At 37.2% G+C, this 19,468-nt stretch overlaps 1 protein-coding gene across 9 annotated transcripts in view, besides 2 other annotated features; it reads right to left on the minus strand.

The window, feature by feature from the left end:
* The window catches only part of CERT1 (ceramide transporter 1), a 143,496-nt gene that overhangs the window by 44,556 nt on the left and 79,472 nt on the right, over positions 1-19,468 (minus strand). For all 9 annotated transcript variants that reach the window (XR_007058566.1, NM_001379003.1, NM_031361.3 and 6 more), the window contains 4 exons: positions 13,330-13,437; positions 12,320-12,458; positions 6,300-6,383; positions 3,835-3,992 (listed from right to left, as the gene is read on the minus strand). Coding sequence is in view for 8 of the 9 variants with exons in the window: in NM_001379003.1 (NP_001365932.1) it covers positions 3,835-3,992; positions 6,300-6,383; positions 12,320-12,458; positions 13,330-13,437 (489 nt within the window). In the remaining variant the exon portion in view is untranslated. The remainder of the gene's footprint in view (positions 1-3,834; positions 3,993-6,299; positions 6,384-12,319; positions 12,459-13,329; positions 13,438-19,468) is intronic.
* Positions 15,028-15,528: an enhancer, noted in NCBI's record as "H3K4me1 hESC enhancer chr5:74723894-74724394 (GRCh37/hg19 assembly coordinates)". NCBI's record gives its function as "activates a minimal SCP1, AML or CMV promoter by ChIP-STARR-seq in primed H9 embryonic stem cells {active_cell/tissue: H9 hESC(primed)}" and the evidence as "EXISTENCE:reporter gene assay evidence [ECO:0000049][PMID:30033119]".
* Positions 15,529-16,029: an enhancer, noted in NCBI's record as "H3K4me1 hESC enhancer chr5:74724395-74724895 (GRCh37/hg19 assembly coordinates)". NCBI's record gives its function as "activates a minimal SCP1, AML or CMV promoter by ChIP-STARR-seq in naive H9 embryonic stem cells {active_cell/tissue: H9 hESC(naive)}" and the evidence as "EXISTENCE:reporter gene assay evidence [ECO:0000049][PMID:30033119]".

Consider the following 19,468-nt stretch of genomic DNA (forward strand, 5'->3'; position numbering starts at 1 on the left):
CTTTATACTGTATTCTACAAACATTTTTCTATTTTTTAAAAAATTTATTTTTTTTAACTTTTTAAACTTTTTTGTTATAAACTAAGAGACAACACACACATTAGCCTAGGCCTACACAGGGTCAGGATCATCAAGATGTCACTAGGCAAAAGGAATTATTCAGCTCCATTATCATGTTATGGGACCACAGTTGTATATGTGGTCCATCACTGACGGAAATGTCGTTATGCAGTGTATCACTGAACTTAATGGCTAAAGTCTAAACTGAACTCACACAAAGCAAACTACTTCTAAATACCACATCAGCGTTAAAGACAGTGGAAATCAATGAATCAATGGGTTCATTAGACCCAAAGATTTCATTAATTGATTTTTGTGTACTAAAGAGAAAATGGGACTACAGATCCACCAGAATGACTAAGCCAGGTGCAGTGGCATGTGCCTGTAGTCCTGGTCATTCAGGAGGCTGAGGCAGGAGGATCACCCGAGCCCTGGAGTTCAAGGCTGTAGTATACTAATGGCTGTGTCTGTGAATAGTCATTGCACTTCAGCCTGGACAACACAGTGAGACCCTGTCTCTCAAAAAAAGAAAGACTGTCCCCAAAATCAAACAACACCAACACCTATACACACACACACACACAGACGCACACACACACAATACCAAGTACAGTCAAGAGTGAACAACATCAACAACACCCACACACCCACACATCCCTAACAATACCAAAATGCTGTCAAGAATTAAAAATAATTGGAATCCTCACCCATTGCTGGTAGAAATAATCACTTTGGAAAATCATCAGTATCCACTAAAGTTAAGCATATACCCCTATGAATCAAGAAGTCTACTCCAAGGTATGAGAAATATACCTAAAGATATGCCCCAAGAACTCTCATAGCAGTTTCATTCATGATAGCCAAAAAATGAAAAAAATCTAAATGTCCACCAACAGGAAAATAGATAAGCAAATTGAAGTCATACAATAAAAAGTTATACAATAAAATAGTGTATAGCAATAAAAAAGAATAAACTACTATTAAATATAACAACATGAATGAATCTCACAGTCAAATGTTGAAGGAAAGAGAAGGCCTGACTCAAAAGTATACTGTATGATTCCATTTGTATGTTGTTCCAGAACAGGCAAAACTAATCTATAATGACATAGGTTAAAACCATATGATCACCTCTTGGGGTGGTGGTATGATATGGAATAGGAAGGAGCATGAAGGAACCTTCTAGGGTGCTAGAAAAGTTATATATCTTGATCTGTCTATGGTTAAGGGGTGTATACAAACGTTAAAAAAAATCAGGTAGTATACTTAAGATTGGTACACTTCATTGTATGTATGTTATGTATTAATTTTAAATGAATAAAACAAAAATGCACAGCACAGCAATAATATTAAAGACTTACAGGAAAGTGAAAATGTATGTAAAAGTACACACCTGTGAATCTAATAATGTAAGAAAATGTATCTTCAATGAACAGGTTATCTCTTATTAACACTGTTAACCATAATTGCCTAATTTTAGAATTTTTGGTTTTCCTGGACATGACTGGCTAACAATTAAGTACACTTCTTCTACAGTGGAAAGGATCATTATTATTATAGGTAACCAATAAAAATCATCACTACAAAATAGTATTTTCAATTAGCTGAAAGAATCCTGGAACTGACATTATAAATCTACATAAAAGTATAATATAGACAATTCTATTATTAAATAGCTGTTATTATCACCTATTTAATTGCTCTCATTAGATTTTAAGCCCCTTGAGAGACTATTTCCTGCTCATCACTGTTTTCCCATTCCTAGCTTAGAGTCAAGCACACAGCAGGCACACACCTGAATGAAACAATTTCAGTGAAACCATATTGTTATCATTGTACTTTCTTTCTCAATTCTAAGAATTACCTGAAAGACGTATTTGTTGATAAACAACTTTCTCTATTTAAGAACTTTCTAGTCTTTAGTGTGTATATATACACACACACACACACACACACTCTACATACAAAAGATTAGAAAGTTCTTGAATAGAGTTGCTTACCAATAAATACACACATACCCTGCATATATTATGTATATATATATGAACACACACATACTGTGTGTACACACATGTGCAAATACACACACACTTACATTCCATGTAAAATGTAACTGGGATCCAGTTATTTCAACCTTGAGAAAAAATTACAGTGGAAAAGGTTAATAAAATTTGACATCAGATAGATCTGTAAGAAGACTATAAAACACAGTAGTGTCCAGATTTTAACCAATACTGCCTGCCATCTTTTCTGGCTGTTCTTTGGTGGAGAGTGTTGCATGGAGAAGCAACAAAAGTGGTTTTTTTCCCGCAGATCTTTGGTTTGCTCTGCTCATTGCTACCCAATAAAGAAAGAGAACTGGTAAGATTAACAATGCTGAAAGCAATCAAAAATCTATCTCCCCTTTTCAACATGGCAAATAAACTTGAATGCTAAAATAATCAGGAAGTGGTATATAATGTGCAAAGGTTTAAAAAAAATTATTTTAGGCAATGTGGTTAGAGTATATGACCAAAGAATATGATCCCTTAGTGAAGGAAAAAGAGACTAAAGAGAGAGAAAGTTGCCAAAAAGTTGGAAATAAGCTAGTCTGGACTAGCTGAATGATAATCTTGAACCATTAGTCTAATGTATTTAGGGAGTTGTCCTGTTTTTCAATACATTGTTTTTTTTTTGTGAACAGGGACTCTTCTAATAATTCAATTTGATCCACACTGAGTATAGAGTTGAAATCTTTGAAGATAATAATAGTTTGGCTCCAGAATGATAATAAATTTTCTATACCTTAAAAGGATGTTTTCATTACCTATTTTAAAAGAAGACATATTCCTAATCAAAATGGCTTACTCTCACCTGCACTTGTGCATTCTGAACAGCTCTCTTTTCTTCTAAAACATGGGAACCTTCCTAAACACATAGTGCTATCATTGCTTTCCTTAGTGTCCCGCTCAAATTCAAAGGCCTTCAAACTCTGCAAGCAATATAACTCAGAATGAATATGATTCTGGCTGATGTCTAATCTGGCATCCAGAGCTGATATATAAAAGAATAGAGAAAAATGCCTCTAACTCTATTACTTTTCACCTTTTGACAAGCCTCTGGGCCTCAATTCCTTCTTCTATAAAATGATGGCATTGGACTAGAACTTTAAGGTATGTTTCAACTCTAACATTTTACTATTATTCTAAAGCTGAATTATAAATAGAAGTTTTCCTACTTAACAAATCCACTGAGCCATGCTTCACACTAGAAACTAAAGAGTCATACTATAATATTATCAGTGCTGCAGTTTAAACAAAGGTGGGAAAATGTGAACATAGGGCAAATGCTCAAACAACATAATGTATGTTAAATGGTATCACTGACCATGGAAAAAATACATGAGTATTACTATAATAAGTAAATGTTTAACTTTGTAAATTGGCATATAAGTTAGTTCATATGCCTTAAATGCAGTTTCATACATCATGCACCTAAAGGTGTGTAATGTTAAATGGCTCAACACTTCTATTCCAAAGCATTACTAACATCATCACAAAAACTTTTATATTAAATCTTTCAAGAAAGCATACTGTATAGTAACTAAACAAGTAATTGGTGAATCTTGTTAGGCAAATGAGTTTAGGATGCCCATAAAGCTTCAGAGTAGTAGTATCATCTGCTATTTCTATCAACCCAAGATTCTTCCCTAAGAAGTTAGCTTGTTTTAAATATTCAAACAATACGTAAAACTTAAATGTGATTATTTTTAAAAGGAAAAAAACCTAGTCTTACCTTATCCAGTCTCTTCTGCCAGCTGTCCTCACGTTTAACCATTAGTTCAATACAATGAGAAAGTGTTGCAAGGATTCCAGCAGTAGTTGCTTTAAAAGTTATCGCTTCCCCTTTAAAGTCTATACCATTAATTCCTTTTGGTGTCACATGTGGAAATACTGAAAATGAAAATTATTCACTGAAAATATCTCTAATGAGGAAATAATTCATCACAATTTAAGATTAGAAAATGTTTAGAAAATTAGCAAGTCAGAGCAGGTTTTGGGATTTTAATTTTCCTCCTGTAGGCCAACATTTAAAAATCTCCTATCCAAGCTCTATAAGCAAAGAAGCTTCGTGGCAGCATATGTACTTTCAAGTCCTTTTTTTCTAGATTCTGTTTCCTGAAATTTATTTGCTGTGCTGCACCCAATTAATCAAATGGTAGGAGGAGCAATACTTTAACAATAACATTCTGACAGCTTAGAGTAGGACCTAATTATGGCAAGAACTACCTTATTATTTTGAAAAGCCTAGAATTAAAAAAAATCTGAAGATAAACTAAAGAATCTAATAAAATAATATACAATTTAAAAATAAACATACAAATTTAAATCCAGGACCAATGCACTTAAACTCAATGCCTTTTACGTTTCAATTTTATCATTTTAATTCATGGTTAGCTTTTGAATTAAACAAAAAATCTTAAAACTCAAAGATGCAAACAAGAAATCATAATATTCTATAGTTAAGAAATCATTCTAGTAGAATAATTATAAATGAAATAATGTCAATTTTGACTTTAAAAACGATTAGAGATATGACAGTAAAGGTATAATCCATCAAAGAACAAATTGTGAAACTTAAATCAAAATGTAAAATTTCTGCTCTTGAAAACACTGTTAAGAGGATAAAGAGATAAGCCACAAACTGGGAGAAAATCTTGTGTGGCATATATTTAATAAAGACTTCTATCCAGAATATATGAAGTAACCTCAAAGCTCATTAATAATAAACACTGGCTGGGCGCGGTGGCTCACGCCTGTAATCCCAGCACTTTGGGAGGCCAAGGCGGGCGGATCACCTGAAGCTGGGAGTTCGAGACCAGCCTGACAAACATGGAGAAACCCCGTCTCCACTAAAAATACAAAATTAGCTGGGTGTGGTGGCGCATGCCTGTAATCCCAGCTACTCAGGAGGCTGAAGCAGGACAATCACTTGAAACCGGGAGGTGGAGGTTGCGGTGAGCTGAGATCACCACACTGCACTCCAGCCTGGGTAACAAGAGGGAAACTCTGTCTCAAAATAATAATAATAATAATCACCAAGCCCAACATGAGTAAAAAATGTGAACACACACTTCACCAAAGAGCAGATATAAATGGCAAATAAAAACATGAAAAGGTGCTTAATATCACTAGTTAATATGGAAATGCAAATTAAAACCACAATGACATATCCCTACACACCTATTAGAATGACTGAAATTTGAAGACTGACCATATTAAGTGTTGGTGGGGATATGGAGGAACTGGGACTCTCATATGTGGCTGGTAAAAAACAGTTTGGCAGTTTCTTTAAAAATTAAACACACCCACACCCGCCATATGATTAGAACATTCTACTCCTAGGTATTTACCCAAAATAAATACAATAAATTTCCATGAATAGAATTGTATATGAATGCTCATAGCAGTTTTATTTGTAATAGTCAAAACTGTAACCGACCCAAATGTCCACCAATGAATGACTAGATACACAAACTATGGTATATCTATACAATAAAATACTACTGAGCTATGAGAAGAACTGAACTACTGATATATGCAACAATAATGATGAATCTCAAACTAAGAAAAAAGCCAGGCAAAAAAAGAATACATACTGTATGACTCCATTTATATTAGATTATAGAAAATGCAAACTAATCTATAGTGTCAGAAAATAGATCAGTGGCTATTCAGGAATGGGGGAGAGAGGAATGACAAAGGGGATGGAGAAAACTTTTGAAGGTGATATAAATGTTAACTATCTTGATTGTGTTGATAGTTTCACGAAAATATCCAAATTTATCAAATTATACACTTTAAATGGTATGTCAATTGTATCTCAATAAAGCTTTTTTAAAGCTTATATTTTCTTAATAAGAATACGCACGTACATCAACTCAACAGAACTGAGAATCCAGAAATAAACCCTCGCATTTACAGTCTATCAGATTTTCACGAAGGTGCCAAGACAAGGGAAAAAAATTGTCTTTTCAGCAAATGATGCTGGGACAGCTGGACATCCTTATGTAAAAGTTACCATTATTACATAATGTCAGAATGTGATTTTTACCTGCATGCCTTGGAAGATATTTTCACTTGGATTCCACCAGTTCTACTGCTTTTTAAAAAATTAATCAGGTAATTATTTCTTGTGAGTTGTTACATAACTTCTGAAAGTATATTTTATCCAGCTGAGGGGAAAAATGTATTACTTACACTTTTCTTTATTGCCGTTGGTACTATGCAAGAAGTCACCATCAGAACGCGTTGTAGGAAAGTCATCTTCATCATCTTCTACCACTAAATAAAATATATTTAAGGAAATTAGGATGAAAAGAAATAGAAATTAATGTCTATTCTTATGTTCAACTGAGTCATTTTACTCTGGATTCTGATTCTGAGTATGAAGTCTTACTCATCTTTGTATTTTCACTGGTAATCAAGGTATGCTCAATAAATATCTACCTATCAAGGAACTTTTAAAGAACAAAATCTTAATCTCTCTCTCTCCCCTCAACCCCTGAATATTCTCATTTAGTGAGACTATGGAGAAGGGTATGATACAATTATTTCTTTTTAAAGCTCCCCGAGATGATTACAGTATCAGCCATCTATTTATTTTTGCCACCCAAATATGTGGAATGTCTTTAGATACATTATTTTTAAACCATATTCACTCTCATTTGTGTAAGGGAAGGTTACTGAGTTATGAATTATTTCACCCTGTAGTCTTCCTATCTCTTGCTCCCTTCCGTGGGGCCATTTCCACTCTGTAAGAGGACCAGAAGGGCTGAACAGGACTATAAGGGTGCCTTCTATGCAGAAGACACCTTAGCTTGCCTCTAAGAGTTGTTCTTTTTTTTTTTTTTGTAGATGGAGTCTCACTCTGTCACCCAGGCTGGAGTGCAATGGCATGGTCTCGGCTCACTGCAACCTCTGCCTCCTAGGTTCAAGCAATTCTTCCACCTCAGCCTCCCAAGTAGCTGGGACTACAGGTGCGTGCCACCACAGCCAGCTAATATTTTTGTATTTTTAGTAGAGAAGGGGTTTCACTATGTTGGCCAGGCTGGTTTCGAAACTCCTGGCCTCATGATCCGCCCACCTCGGCCTCCCAATGTGCTGGGATTACAGGTGTGAGTGACCACACCCAGGCGAGAGTTCTTATATATACTATTTCTGATGTGCAAGGAAAATATAATGACTTGCAGATATGATATCGACTGTTTTTTTTTTTTTTGAGGCGGAGTCTTGCTCTGTCGCCCAGGCTGGAGTGCAGTGGCGCGATCTCGGCTCACTGCAAGCTCCACCTCCCGGGTTCACACCATTCTCCTGCCTCAGCCTCCCGAGTAGCTGGGACTACAGGCGCCTGCCACCATGCCTGGCTAATTTTTTGTATTTTTAGTAGAGACGGGGTTTGACCATGTTAGCCAGGAATCCGGTCTCAATCTCCTGACCATGATATCAATTTTCATTCATCCCAGGCTGTATCTGTATCCAGGCATCCCTTTTCTCTAATTCCAGACAAAAACAGAATCTCTCTTGTTCTACTTTAACATACCTCTTTCTTCTATGTGCTATCCCTTTTTCTACTACGCCACATGCTTTAATTCTCTGTACTACGCATTCCACTCATAATGCAAATTCCTGCATCTTAGTTCCCAACATTATTTGCTGCTTTTATCAAGCTTTTTGTGGCTTCTTCTTCTTCTTGTTTGTGAGACAGGGTCTGGCTCTGTTGCCCAGCCTGGAGTGCAGTGGCACAATCTCAGCTCACTGCAACCTCCACCTCCCAGGCTCAAGCAATCCTACTCAGCCCCTTGAGCAGCTGGGAACACAGGTGCACACCACCAGCCCAGCTAATTTTTGTAGAGATGAGGTTTTGCCATGTTGCCCAGGCCGGTTTCAAACTCCTGAGCTCAAGCAATCTGCCCACCTCTGCCTCTCAAAATGCTGGGATTACAGGTGTAAGCCACTGCACCCAGCCTACATGGCTCCTTTATCTTTTCAGGAACTCCCTTTATAAAGAAGGAATCTACATTTTAAACTAATGTCTTACTTACTGCATGTATCTTTTTACATCAGGAGCACCGTGGCTCTATAAGGAACATCTCATCTATCTTAGCTGTCTTTTTTATGGATGCAGAGCCCAATTCGATACCTTATTTCCCTTCTTTGATTAAATGGTAGGAATCACCATGGAAAATCTTCTGTACTGCCATTTTCTAATTACTGGACTATTTCATTTTTTTATAACCACTTGAAAATGTTGTCAATCATCTATAACAACTCTTACAAATCATAAACTATTATCTATTAATACCCTGTATTCATTTCTACCTGGCTGTGATCTCAATATTCAATTCTTTTTCTTTTCCACTTCCATCATTCCTACAGACTTCAATATGAGCATATCTTGATTACCAGTGAAAATACAAAGATGAGTAAGATCTCATATGCTCAATAAATATGCTGTGCAATGTCTTTAGATACATTATTTTTAAACCATACTCAGATAAAAAATCATGCTGACCATCAGTTGAAGTTATAATACGACTATTCCTAAATTAGTCCCCTGGCATAATCCCATAAAGATGACCTTCAAGTACCTTTTGAGATCCTTACTTCCCGGGGCCTTTTCAAATTTCCCTACTTTTTTGCATCATATCAATGAAAAGTTAAAACAGTTTGTTACTCACTCTTCAACTCTACCTTCATGCATTCTTTTCTACAGAAGCAGGAGATATTTCATTTGCTCTAGATTTGACCTATTCTCACAATTTAAAGGAGTTGTTTTCTTGGAAAACTCAAAAGCCTTCTGTACAATATTTGTTTTCCCCTTTCTGCTGTGCTTTCCTTCTGCCTTCAGAAGGCTTGTTTATAATGCTAGCTCATACTTCTACTAGAGAGGGTATCCACATATCAAGGAACTTTTGATTATCTACCTATCAAGGAACTTTTAAAGAACAAAACGTTAATCTCTCTCTCTCCCCTCAACCCCTGAATATTCTGGTTTAGTGAGACTATGGTGAAGGGTATGATACAATTATTTCTTTTTTAAAGCTCCCCGAGATGATTACAGTATCAGCCAGACATCTATTTATTTTTGCCACCCAAATATTTCTCAGCCACCAGCACATTAAATCTTCCTCTCAAACTACCCCTTTACCATAACCTTCCACCTCCAAAACAGACACAAAATAGCTTTTTCAGGCTGGGCGTGGTGGCTTATGCCTGTAATCCCAGCACTTTGGGAGGCAGAGGCAAGCAGACTGCTTGAGCTCAGGAGTTTGAGACAAGCCTGGGCAACATGGCAAAACCCTGTCTCTACAAAAAATACAACAATTAGCTGGGCATGGTGGTGCACATCTGTAGTCCCAACTACTTGGGAAGGCTGAGGTGGGAGGACTGCTTGGGCCTGGGGGGCGGAGGTTGCAGTGAGCCAAGATTGTGCCACTGCACTCCAGCCTGGGTGACAGAGGGAGACCCAGTATCAAATAAAAATCAAAGGATCAATCAATCAGTCAGTATCTCACAAATAACATTTGTAGGGAAATCAGTTGTTATGGGCTGAATTGTGTCTCAGAAATTCATATGTTGAAGTCCTTAATCTCCAGTACCTTAGAATATGGCTGTTATTTGGAGACAAGGTTTGTAAAGCAGTAATTAAGTTAACATGGGGTCATTAGGATGGGCACTAATCCACTATGACTGTACAATATGCAGAAGAAATTTGGACACAGACACATACAAAGGGAAAGATGATGATGTGAAGATATAGGGAGGCTACCTATAAGCCAAGGAGAGAGGCGTGGAACAGGTTTTTCCTTCATGGCCTTCAGAAGAAACCAACCCTGCCAATACCTTTATCTCAGAACTGTGAGAAAATAAATCTGTTGTTTAAGCCACCCAGTCTGTGGTACTTTGATATGGCAGCCCTAGCAAACTAATACATCAGTCTTCAATTTGCTATTTATTTAAACATGTAGCAGAAAAGATTCCGTGTAATGTCTATTATTATTTTTCAAATCATCTACACAACCTGGTTATCACTGCATTCCAACTTCCACTTTTTCCACCATCACTTTTGTCCTTCTAATACTATACGCTATTGGTATGGACCATTAAGATAAACAAGGCATCATATTCTATATGTATCCTGTTTTTGTTTAAAGCTAATCTGTAACATTTAAATTGATTAAAAGGTATACTTTTTTAATGAAGGAGAAACAGAAGTTCAGGTGTTTTCTATTTTTAGAGGGGAAAAAAAAAAAATCACACATTAACGAACCAAAACCTTTAATAAAAGTTTTTATATTAACAAATAGAACTTCAAGGCCAGGCACAATGGCTCAAGCCTGTAATTCTAGTACTTTGGGCAGTTGAGGTGGGAGAATCCCTTGAGGCCAGGAGTTTAAAGACCAGCCTGGGCCACATAGCGAGACCTCATCTCTACAAAAAATTTAAAAATTAACCAGATATGACGGTGTATGCCTGTAGTCCTAGCCAGTTCGGAAGTTGAGGCAGGAGGATCACTTGAGCCCAGGAGTTTAAGGTCACAGGGAGCTATGAACATTCTACTACATTATTGGAAGGTTCTGATACTACACATAAAGTGGTATATTACTTGAAGGCAGACTGTGGTAAGTTAAATATGCAAACTATAAACCTTAAAGTAGCCACTAAAATAACAAAACCACGAGTTATACCTAAGAAGCTAACAAAGGAGATAAAGTGGAATTATATATATATGAAAAAAATTTCATCCAAAGAAGGCAGAAAAAGGGAATATAGAATAGACAAAAAGAACTTGGATCCAGATCAAACACATTTAATAAAAAAGAGAAATGAAACCATGTCAAGCCACCTAGTTATATTGGGGATGAACTTAGTCCTGTTTGGTAATAATGGTAGAGTAGTTAATTTTTGCCATCACAATAAATTAAGTGAAAAAGCTGAAGAACAATGTTGACATCAGCAGTATTTTTGGGACTAACAAAGGAAAGTTAAACTATAAACCTAACACTAAAAGTTAATTGAAGATATCTTGTTTCTTTTAAATAAGAACTCAATAAAATTATTTTTAAATGTACATACAATTATTACTTCCATTTCTATTACTGATTCTTCTTCTATGAGAAAAAGGGTAGAGAAAGGGAGAGACTGAGAGAGAGAGGGGGCCGAGCGCGGTGGCTCAGGCCTGTAATCCCAGCACTTTGGAAGGCCGAGGCGGGCAGATCATGAGGTCAGGAGATTAAGACCATCCTGGCCAAAACCCCGTCTCTACTAAAAATACAAAAATTAGCTGGGCATGGTGGCACGTGCCTGTAATCCCAGCTACTTGGGAGGCTGAGGCAGGACAATCACTTGAACCAGGGAGCCGGAGGTTGCAGCGAGCCGAGATCACGCGACTGCACTCCAGCCTGGTGACAGAGCGAGACTCTGTCTCAAAAAAAAAAAGAAAGAAAAAGAGAGAGAGAGGAAAAGGCAAAAAGAAAAGAGAAGGGGAGAAAAAGAGAAATGAGAGGGAGAAAGAGAAAGAGATCAACTGGTTGATTTCAGATCTGAAGGATTTAACATATACTTATCTCCTCTAAGACTCATCATGGGCTAAATTTATCAGACATAATAATAATGTGAAATGATCCATAATACCAAGATAATAGATATCATTTTTTAATGGAATAAAGAGTATCATTTGAAAGTCTTTGCCTGGTGTGGTGGCTCACACCTATAATCTCAACACTTTGGTAGGCCGAAGTGGGAAGATTGCTTGAGGCCAGGAGTTCAAGACCAACCTGACCAACATAGTGAGACCCCCGTCTCTATAAAAAATAGAAAAATAAATTAGCTGGGTGTGGTGATGCACACCTGTAGTCCTAGCAACCTGGGTGGCTGAGATGGGAGAATTGCTTGAGGCCAGAAGTTTGAGGCTGCAGTGAGCTATGATCGCGCCACTGCACTCCAGCCTGGGCGATAGAATGAAACCATGTCTCAACAAAAAAGTAAATAAATAAAATAAAGGTCTTCAATGGCATCTGGTATGGATGATCAAAATGAATTAGTATGTGTAACTGAAGTACCCAAGTTACAAGGACACTGAAATCTGTTTCACTGGGGGTTTGCAGCAAAAAATGACTATAAACACCTTTATCACTTAAAGACATTACCCTTTGAGATCAAGAGGCTTTTAATCCATTCATTCTCCAAGTAAAAATAGTGGTAATAGCCTAATTAACCTTTATCCCTTTGAAGTTCATCCTTAGAGACAGCATCAGCACAGGCATCAAAGTACTTCTGTAGCGTGTCAACTTGTCTACATAAGATGTCTCTAAATGTTTCCATTTCAGCCAACTTCTCACGTAAACTGTGGCCTTTCTGCAAAACATAAAATAGGGGGATGTAATTCAAGTAAAACAAAACTGGATTTCATGTGGTCCTATGGTATTTCATCAACTTTTAAGGTCTGCACCTTATAACTGAGGGCATGGGATAAGGAGAGCTGTCTAGTTCAATATAATACTTCTAGGAATAGGCTTGAAACTGATGAATCTATTGGCTTGATAGCGATAAGCCACTTATGAATGATGATAACCTCGTGATATCACTTATAAATAAGCCCTATTTTTTATAGAAAACAAGAAAGCAGTAATACCTGACAGTTTGCAAATATAACATTTGGTATTTTCAAATTAAACAAAATTGTGTGGAACAACTGTGAAAGACTTTGAAATGGGAAAAAATATTACTTGTGTCCTTTCAAAGTAATGGTGAGCTGTCATTTATGGTACCCTTGGGAGAGTACTATTTGATCATATAGACACTTTTGCCTTTCACTGCATTTGAGCTATTTTACAACTCTTTTAGTAAAAAACTGAGTAGTATAAATAATTCTTGTTCATAGAGATGCAAATGAATTTTGTCTGGTGCAGAAGCACTGATTATTAATCTGTGGATACTGACCAGTTTTTCCCATATTCACAAATCATTTCAGTATTCTTCAGATTTTCCTTTGAACCAGTTTTTTTATATTTTACCTCATTAATGAATGAATGAAATAAAATCAGTGACATGTGTTCATCTATATGAGTTATTATTTTATACCTTAAAAAGTACTTCTCTAATAACTTCAAATAAATTATACTATAAAAAAGTTTGTTCAAAAAATTATCACATATGTTCTGTTCACAACATCCAATACTAAACTCAATTTATGTTGTTTAACTTAAGGCATCCATTAACTACACACCTTGAATGAAGAGGTGGATGTTGCAGAGTAGCCACTTGCTCCAGACACCAGGGACACCATTGAGCCATGTCGACGCAAGCTGGATTCAGATCCATATCCAGATTCAGTCTAAAAAAAAAAGTAAACTATGTGAAAAGAATTTAAATAAAAAATACTTGAGAAAACAAAAGGTTTCCTATGAATTAACAAGGTTATTATAACAATTGGCAGTCTGGGTGCACATAAGATATATAGTCAATCCACTGACATAAGCAATGCCTTTCAATTCCTAAATGCCATTTAATTTAGAAATTTATTGAATACCTACTATGTGCTGGGCTAGTGGTCACAAAGACTGTTTAATAATAGGAAAACTAAAGTAGTCAAATTCATAGACAGAAAGCAGAATAGTTGTTACCAGGGGCAGGGAAAAGAAGAATGGGTAGTTATTATTTAATGGACACAGAGTTTCAGCTGGGGAAGATAAAAAAGCTCTGAAGATGGATGATGGTGACGGTTGAACAATAGTGTGAATGTACTTAATACCACAGAACTGTACACTTAACAGTGGTCAAAATGGTAATTTTATGTATTCTCACCCATTCTTAACACATCACAATTACAGCATTTACCATTCACAATAGTTTGTGTTTTGTTATTACTACTGGACTTGGATCTTTCTGGAAGCAGCTTGTATCTTTTAAATTTTTGTAACCACCTCGACAGTTCATGGCACGAAGTTTCCAATTTTGCTAGTCTGTTAAGTCAGCATCCCATGGAAGATAACTGATGGGGATGATACTCTTCAGAGCATAAATTTTATATCTTACCTTCTCTAATACAAATGCAATATAACAATATAGACAAAGAAATTAAAACATTTGAACTTCCAAGTAACTAAAACCAGGTATTTTGGATCTCTGATTATTTTCTACTGTTACTTTTTAAAAGTACGGTGAATTAGGCCAGGCGCGGTGGCTCAGGCATGCCTGTAATCCCAGAACTTTGGGAGGCCAAGGTGGGTGGATCACTTGAGGTAAGGAGTCTGAGACCAGCCTGGCCAATATGGTGAAACCCTGTCTCTACTAAAAATACAAAAATTAGCCGGGCATGGTGGCGGGCACCTGTAATCCCGGCTACTCAGAAGGCTGAGGCAGGAGAATCGCCTGAACCTGGGAAGCAGAGGTTGCAGTGAGCCGAGATTACGCCACTGCACTCACTCCAGCCTGGGTGACACAGTAAAACTCAAGTCTCAAAAAAGTACAGTGAATTAATATGCTTGTGTGGAAAAACCAAGGCATCTGTATTATATCCTTTGACAATATATCATATCTATCATGGTTTGACTGATTTCAATCCTGCTCCTCTGTACTATTATGGTTCTAGGTAAGTATTTATATTGAACAGCTTTTCTTCATTTGAATGGTGAAAACAAACCTGTAGGTTTAGTAAACATCAATTTTTTTTTAATACTTAGAGATCAACAGTGAAAACAAAGGAACAAAAAGCTACATTGTATTTAATTTTAATTCTACTCAATAAACAAGTGGTAAAATAATATCTAATTATTTTTAGTATCAAACCTATGGTTACAATGAAAAATTATTTAAAGTTACAAACATTTCAAGATTAATATTAGGAAACAAAATTATATACAATGTGTTATAGAAAATATATCCATTGACATTTTATAGCCTCTGTGGTCTAATTCCTGAAAATCTATTACATTTCTATATAGCTATTGGTTTACCCATGATATTATTCTAATTGGAAAATATTCTTTTTAGCTATAAGAATACTAAGCTTCTATGGTTTAATTAATAAATAAAAGTTTTATGTTTATTTTTATGTAAATGATATTAGCACTAGTTTAAAACATTTTCCAGTTAGTATCACTTCATTTACCTTAACTTTAATATTCTAGGATCTCGGAGCTCCTGGAATGGTGGCACCCAATCAAAAAAAACGTGCAATTTGCAATAAAATGGAAGCAAATTTACAAAGAAAAGAGGAGACTCTGAACACACATTAATTTTAAAAAATAGTTGGCCGGGTGCGGTGGCTCACGCCTGTAATCCCAGCACTTTGGTAGGCCAAGGCGGGCGGATCATGAGGTCAAAAGATTGAGACCATCCTGGCTAACACGGTGAAACCCTGTCTCTACTAAAAATACACAAAATTAGCAGGGCGCAGTGGCGGGCGCCTGTAGTCCCAGCTACTCGGGAGGCTGAGGCAGGAGAATGGCATGAACCTGGGAGGCGGAGCTTGCAGTGAGCTGAGATTGCGCCACTGCAGTCTGACATGGGTGAAAGAGCGAGACTCTGTCTCAAAAAAAAAAAAAAAATATTTACAAGAGGCAAAGATTATAATCAACACAAAGAAAGAAACAAGCTGTCATTAACCTAGATTGGGTTTTAAAACCAAACTGTTAATTCATTAACCTTAAATTCATTTAAAGTTGCAAAAGAACTGATGGTACCTAAACTTAAAGAACAAAGCACATTCCAAAAATCTTCCCTTGTGTCCTATTATCTCTTCAAGGTAGATTGGCTTTACATTTGTATGATAATTACATTTTGTTTCTTATCAAATAATCCCCCATCTTTATTATCTTTATCCATAAATGTTTCTAAATCCTACTTTACACTAAGTGACAGAAATTCAATGTTTTAGCCATCTAGGATCTTATAGTAATCTCTGGATTTTCCGCTTCTCAGATTAATGGTCTTTTTGTCAAAAAACATCCCTACCCCTACTTCCACCTCCAGCCTACAGTACATAAAATTCAGGTTATCTGGGATTTTGAAAACCTCTAAATAGAAACTGAATAATAATAATAATAATAATAATTATTATTATTATTATTTTGAGACAGAGTCTCACTGTCTCTTGCCCAGGCTGGAGTGCAGTGGCACAATCTCGGCTCACTGCCACCTCTGTCTCCTGGGTTCAAATGATTCTCCTGCCTCAGCCTCCCTGGTAGCTGGGATCACAGGCGTGTGCCACCATGTCCAGATAATTTTTGTATTTTTAGTAGAGACGGGGTTTCATTATGTTGGCCAGGCTAGTCTTCAAACTCCTAACGTCAGGTGATCCACCTGCCTCGGCTTCCCAAAGTGCTGGGCTTATAGGCGTGAGCCACCCTGCCTGCCCAAAATATCCTGGAATTCTTTAAACCTCCTGCCCTGGACCAGTGTGGTGGCTTGTGCCTCTAGTCCCAGCTACTTGAGAGACTGAGGCAGAAGAATCACTTGAGGCGAGGAGTTTATGGCTGCAGTAAGCTCTAAACGCACCCCTATACTGAAGCCTAGGTGACAGAGCAAGAAGACCCTGTCTCTTAAACAAGCAAGTAAATCAAAAATAGCCTGCCGTCCTCTATATTACCTTGAAACAGTTAAGAGCCCATGGTCACCATAAAGTTTGGTTCCTGGCAGTGTTAAGTGCTGAAAAGCTATCAGAAACTAGATAAGTTCATCCAAATATAAGAAAAAATGAAAAAAAAAAAAAAAGCAAGGGTAAAAAGAATAGTAGAGATTAGAAGTGGTAGTAACAATGGCAAGGAACAGCAACAAAGAGGGACAATTCTCTGAAGGTACAACAGTAACAATCTCAAAGGAGGAGGAAACTTGTCCCCACCCCCAACATCAATAATCAGATGATGGATCTGGTCAAAATGGAAAAAAAAAAGAAAGAGGATGACGAGAGGAGGAAAGGAATCTGTAACCAAAGTAACAGTTCATGAAAAAAGAAATGGACATTTTCAGGCAGACACTAGGAATTTATCCATATGAAAACAAGTAGCCTCTTAAATTTCAAACTTCTAACACCTACCAGTTGCCAAAGTAAAATGGTCACACTTTTTAATAATGCTTGCTTATAAAACATTCTATCTATAAAAAGTACTTCAATATGTTCTCAACTCTTAATTGGCTAACAAATTACACATAATTTTAAGACAAGGTGGAATCAAAGCTCTTCTCCGAGACTTACATGAATCCACATCTCAAAGCAATGTCTTAGTGATGAAGGAATATAAACATTCTGGAGCCAGGAAAATGATTAATGAAAAGGTAATCAAAAGCATGTACTTCATGGTATGCAAATTATGCCTCAAGAAAACTGATTTTTAAAAAAGACAAAACTAATCTATGACAAACAAGAGCAGGCCAGAGTACAATGGGGGCACTGAATACAAAGAGGTAGAAGAAAATGTGGGAAGTGTAGACTACATCTGTCAAAACTGAAACTGTACAATTAAAATGGGTACTTTTTAAGAATGTAAATGTAAATTGTACCCCAATAAAGTTGATAAAGAAAAAAATGTAAGCTTGTTTCAACATAACAGAATCACAGCAAAATGGAATTCTAATTACAGCAATCAGTTCACAAAAAAAAAAAGAGTTCTTGATTAGGTGCAGTGGCTCACACCTGTAATCCCAGCACTCTGGAGGCCAAGGCAGGAGAACTGCTTAATCCCAGGAGTTCAAGACCAGCCTGAGCAATAAAGCGAGACACCATCTCTACAAAAAAAGTTTTTAAAAGTTAGTGGGGCATTGTGGTGTGCTCCTGTAGTCTCAGTTACTTGGAAGGCCGAGGCAGGAGGATCCCTTGCATCCAGAAGTTCGAGATAGCACTGAGCTAGGATTGTGCCACTGTACTCCAGTCTGGGTGACACAGACAGACTATCTCAAACAAACAAAAGACTTACTGTTTTTCAATTTTAATTTTAGGTTCAGGCAATACATGTGGAGGTTTATTACATGGGTAAATTGCATGCTGCTGGAGTTTGGTATAAAATAATTTCATCACCTAGGACGTGAGCTTAGTGCCTGACAGGTATTTTTTTGTCCCTAGCCCTCCTCCCATCCTCCACCCTCAAGTAGGGCCCAGTGTCTATTGTTTCCCTCTTTGTGTCCATATGTACTGAATGTTTACCTCCCACTTTTAAGTAAGAACATGTGGTATTTGGTTTTCTGTTCCTGTGTTAATTCACTTAGGATAATGGCCTCTAACTGCATCCATTTCATGAAGAAGGGAATTAGCACCCATTCCAGACTTACTACACTGAAGAGGTGGTCCAGCAGGCAGAGGGAGCTCAGGAAACACTTTGGATGAACAATGCTTCTGTGGCCCTGCTATGTGAGCTCTGTCATGGCAGGAACTGTTGGCATCACCCACCTGATCCCTTCTCTGTGTTATGGGGTTGGAAATGAACTAATTAGAGCTAATGTTGGACATAAATTATTAGATAAGCTCCATGATTTGGCCCATGTGTTCTCATTATTTCGCTCTCACTTATAAATGAAAACATGCAGTATTTGTTTTTCTGATCCTGCATTAGTTTACTAAGGATAATGGCCACCAGTTCCATCCATGTGGCTGCAAAGGACATGATCTCACTCCTTTTTATGGCTGTGTAGTATTCCATGGGGTATATATGCCACATTTTATTTATCCAGTCTACTGTTGATGGGCATTTAGGTTCATTCCATGTTTTTGCTATTGTGAAAAATGTTGTGATGAACATACACATGCATGTGGTCTTTATGGAGGAATGATTTATATTCCTATGGGTATATACACAGTAATGAGATTGCTGGTCAAATGGTAGTTCTGTTTTAAGTTGTTTGAGAAATCACCAAACTACATTCCACAGTGGCTGAACTAATTTACGTTCCCACCAGCAGTGTATAAACATTCCCCCCCCCTTTTTTTTTTTTGAGATGAAGACTTGCTCTGTCACCCAGGCTGCAATGCAGTGGCGCGATCTCAACTCACTGCAAGCTCCACCTCCAGGGTTCATGCCATTCTCTCGCCTCAGCCTCCTGAATAGCTGGGACTACAGGCGCTAGCCACCACACCCGGCTAATTTTGTTTTTGTATTTTTAGTAGAGACAGGGTTTTGCCATGTTAGCCAGGATGGTCTCGATCTCTGACGTCGTAATCCGCCTGCCTTGGCCTCCCAAAGTACTGGGATTACAGGCATGAGCCACCACGCCCGGCCAAGCATTCCCTTTTCTCTGCAACCTCACCAACATCTGTTATTTTCTGAATTTGTTGTAACAGACATTCTGATTGGTGAGATGGTTCTGATTTACATTTATCTAACAAACAGTGATGTTGAACACTTTTTCACATGCTTGATGGCAGCATGGATGTC

Source organism: Homo sapiens, chromosome 5 (assembly GCF_000001405.40).
Source record: "Homo sapiens chromosome 5, GRCh38.p14 Primary Assembly".
NCBI classification, from domain to species: Eukaryota; Metazoa; Chordata; class Mammalia; order Primates; family Hominidae; genus Homo; species Homo sapiens.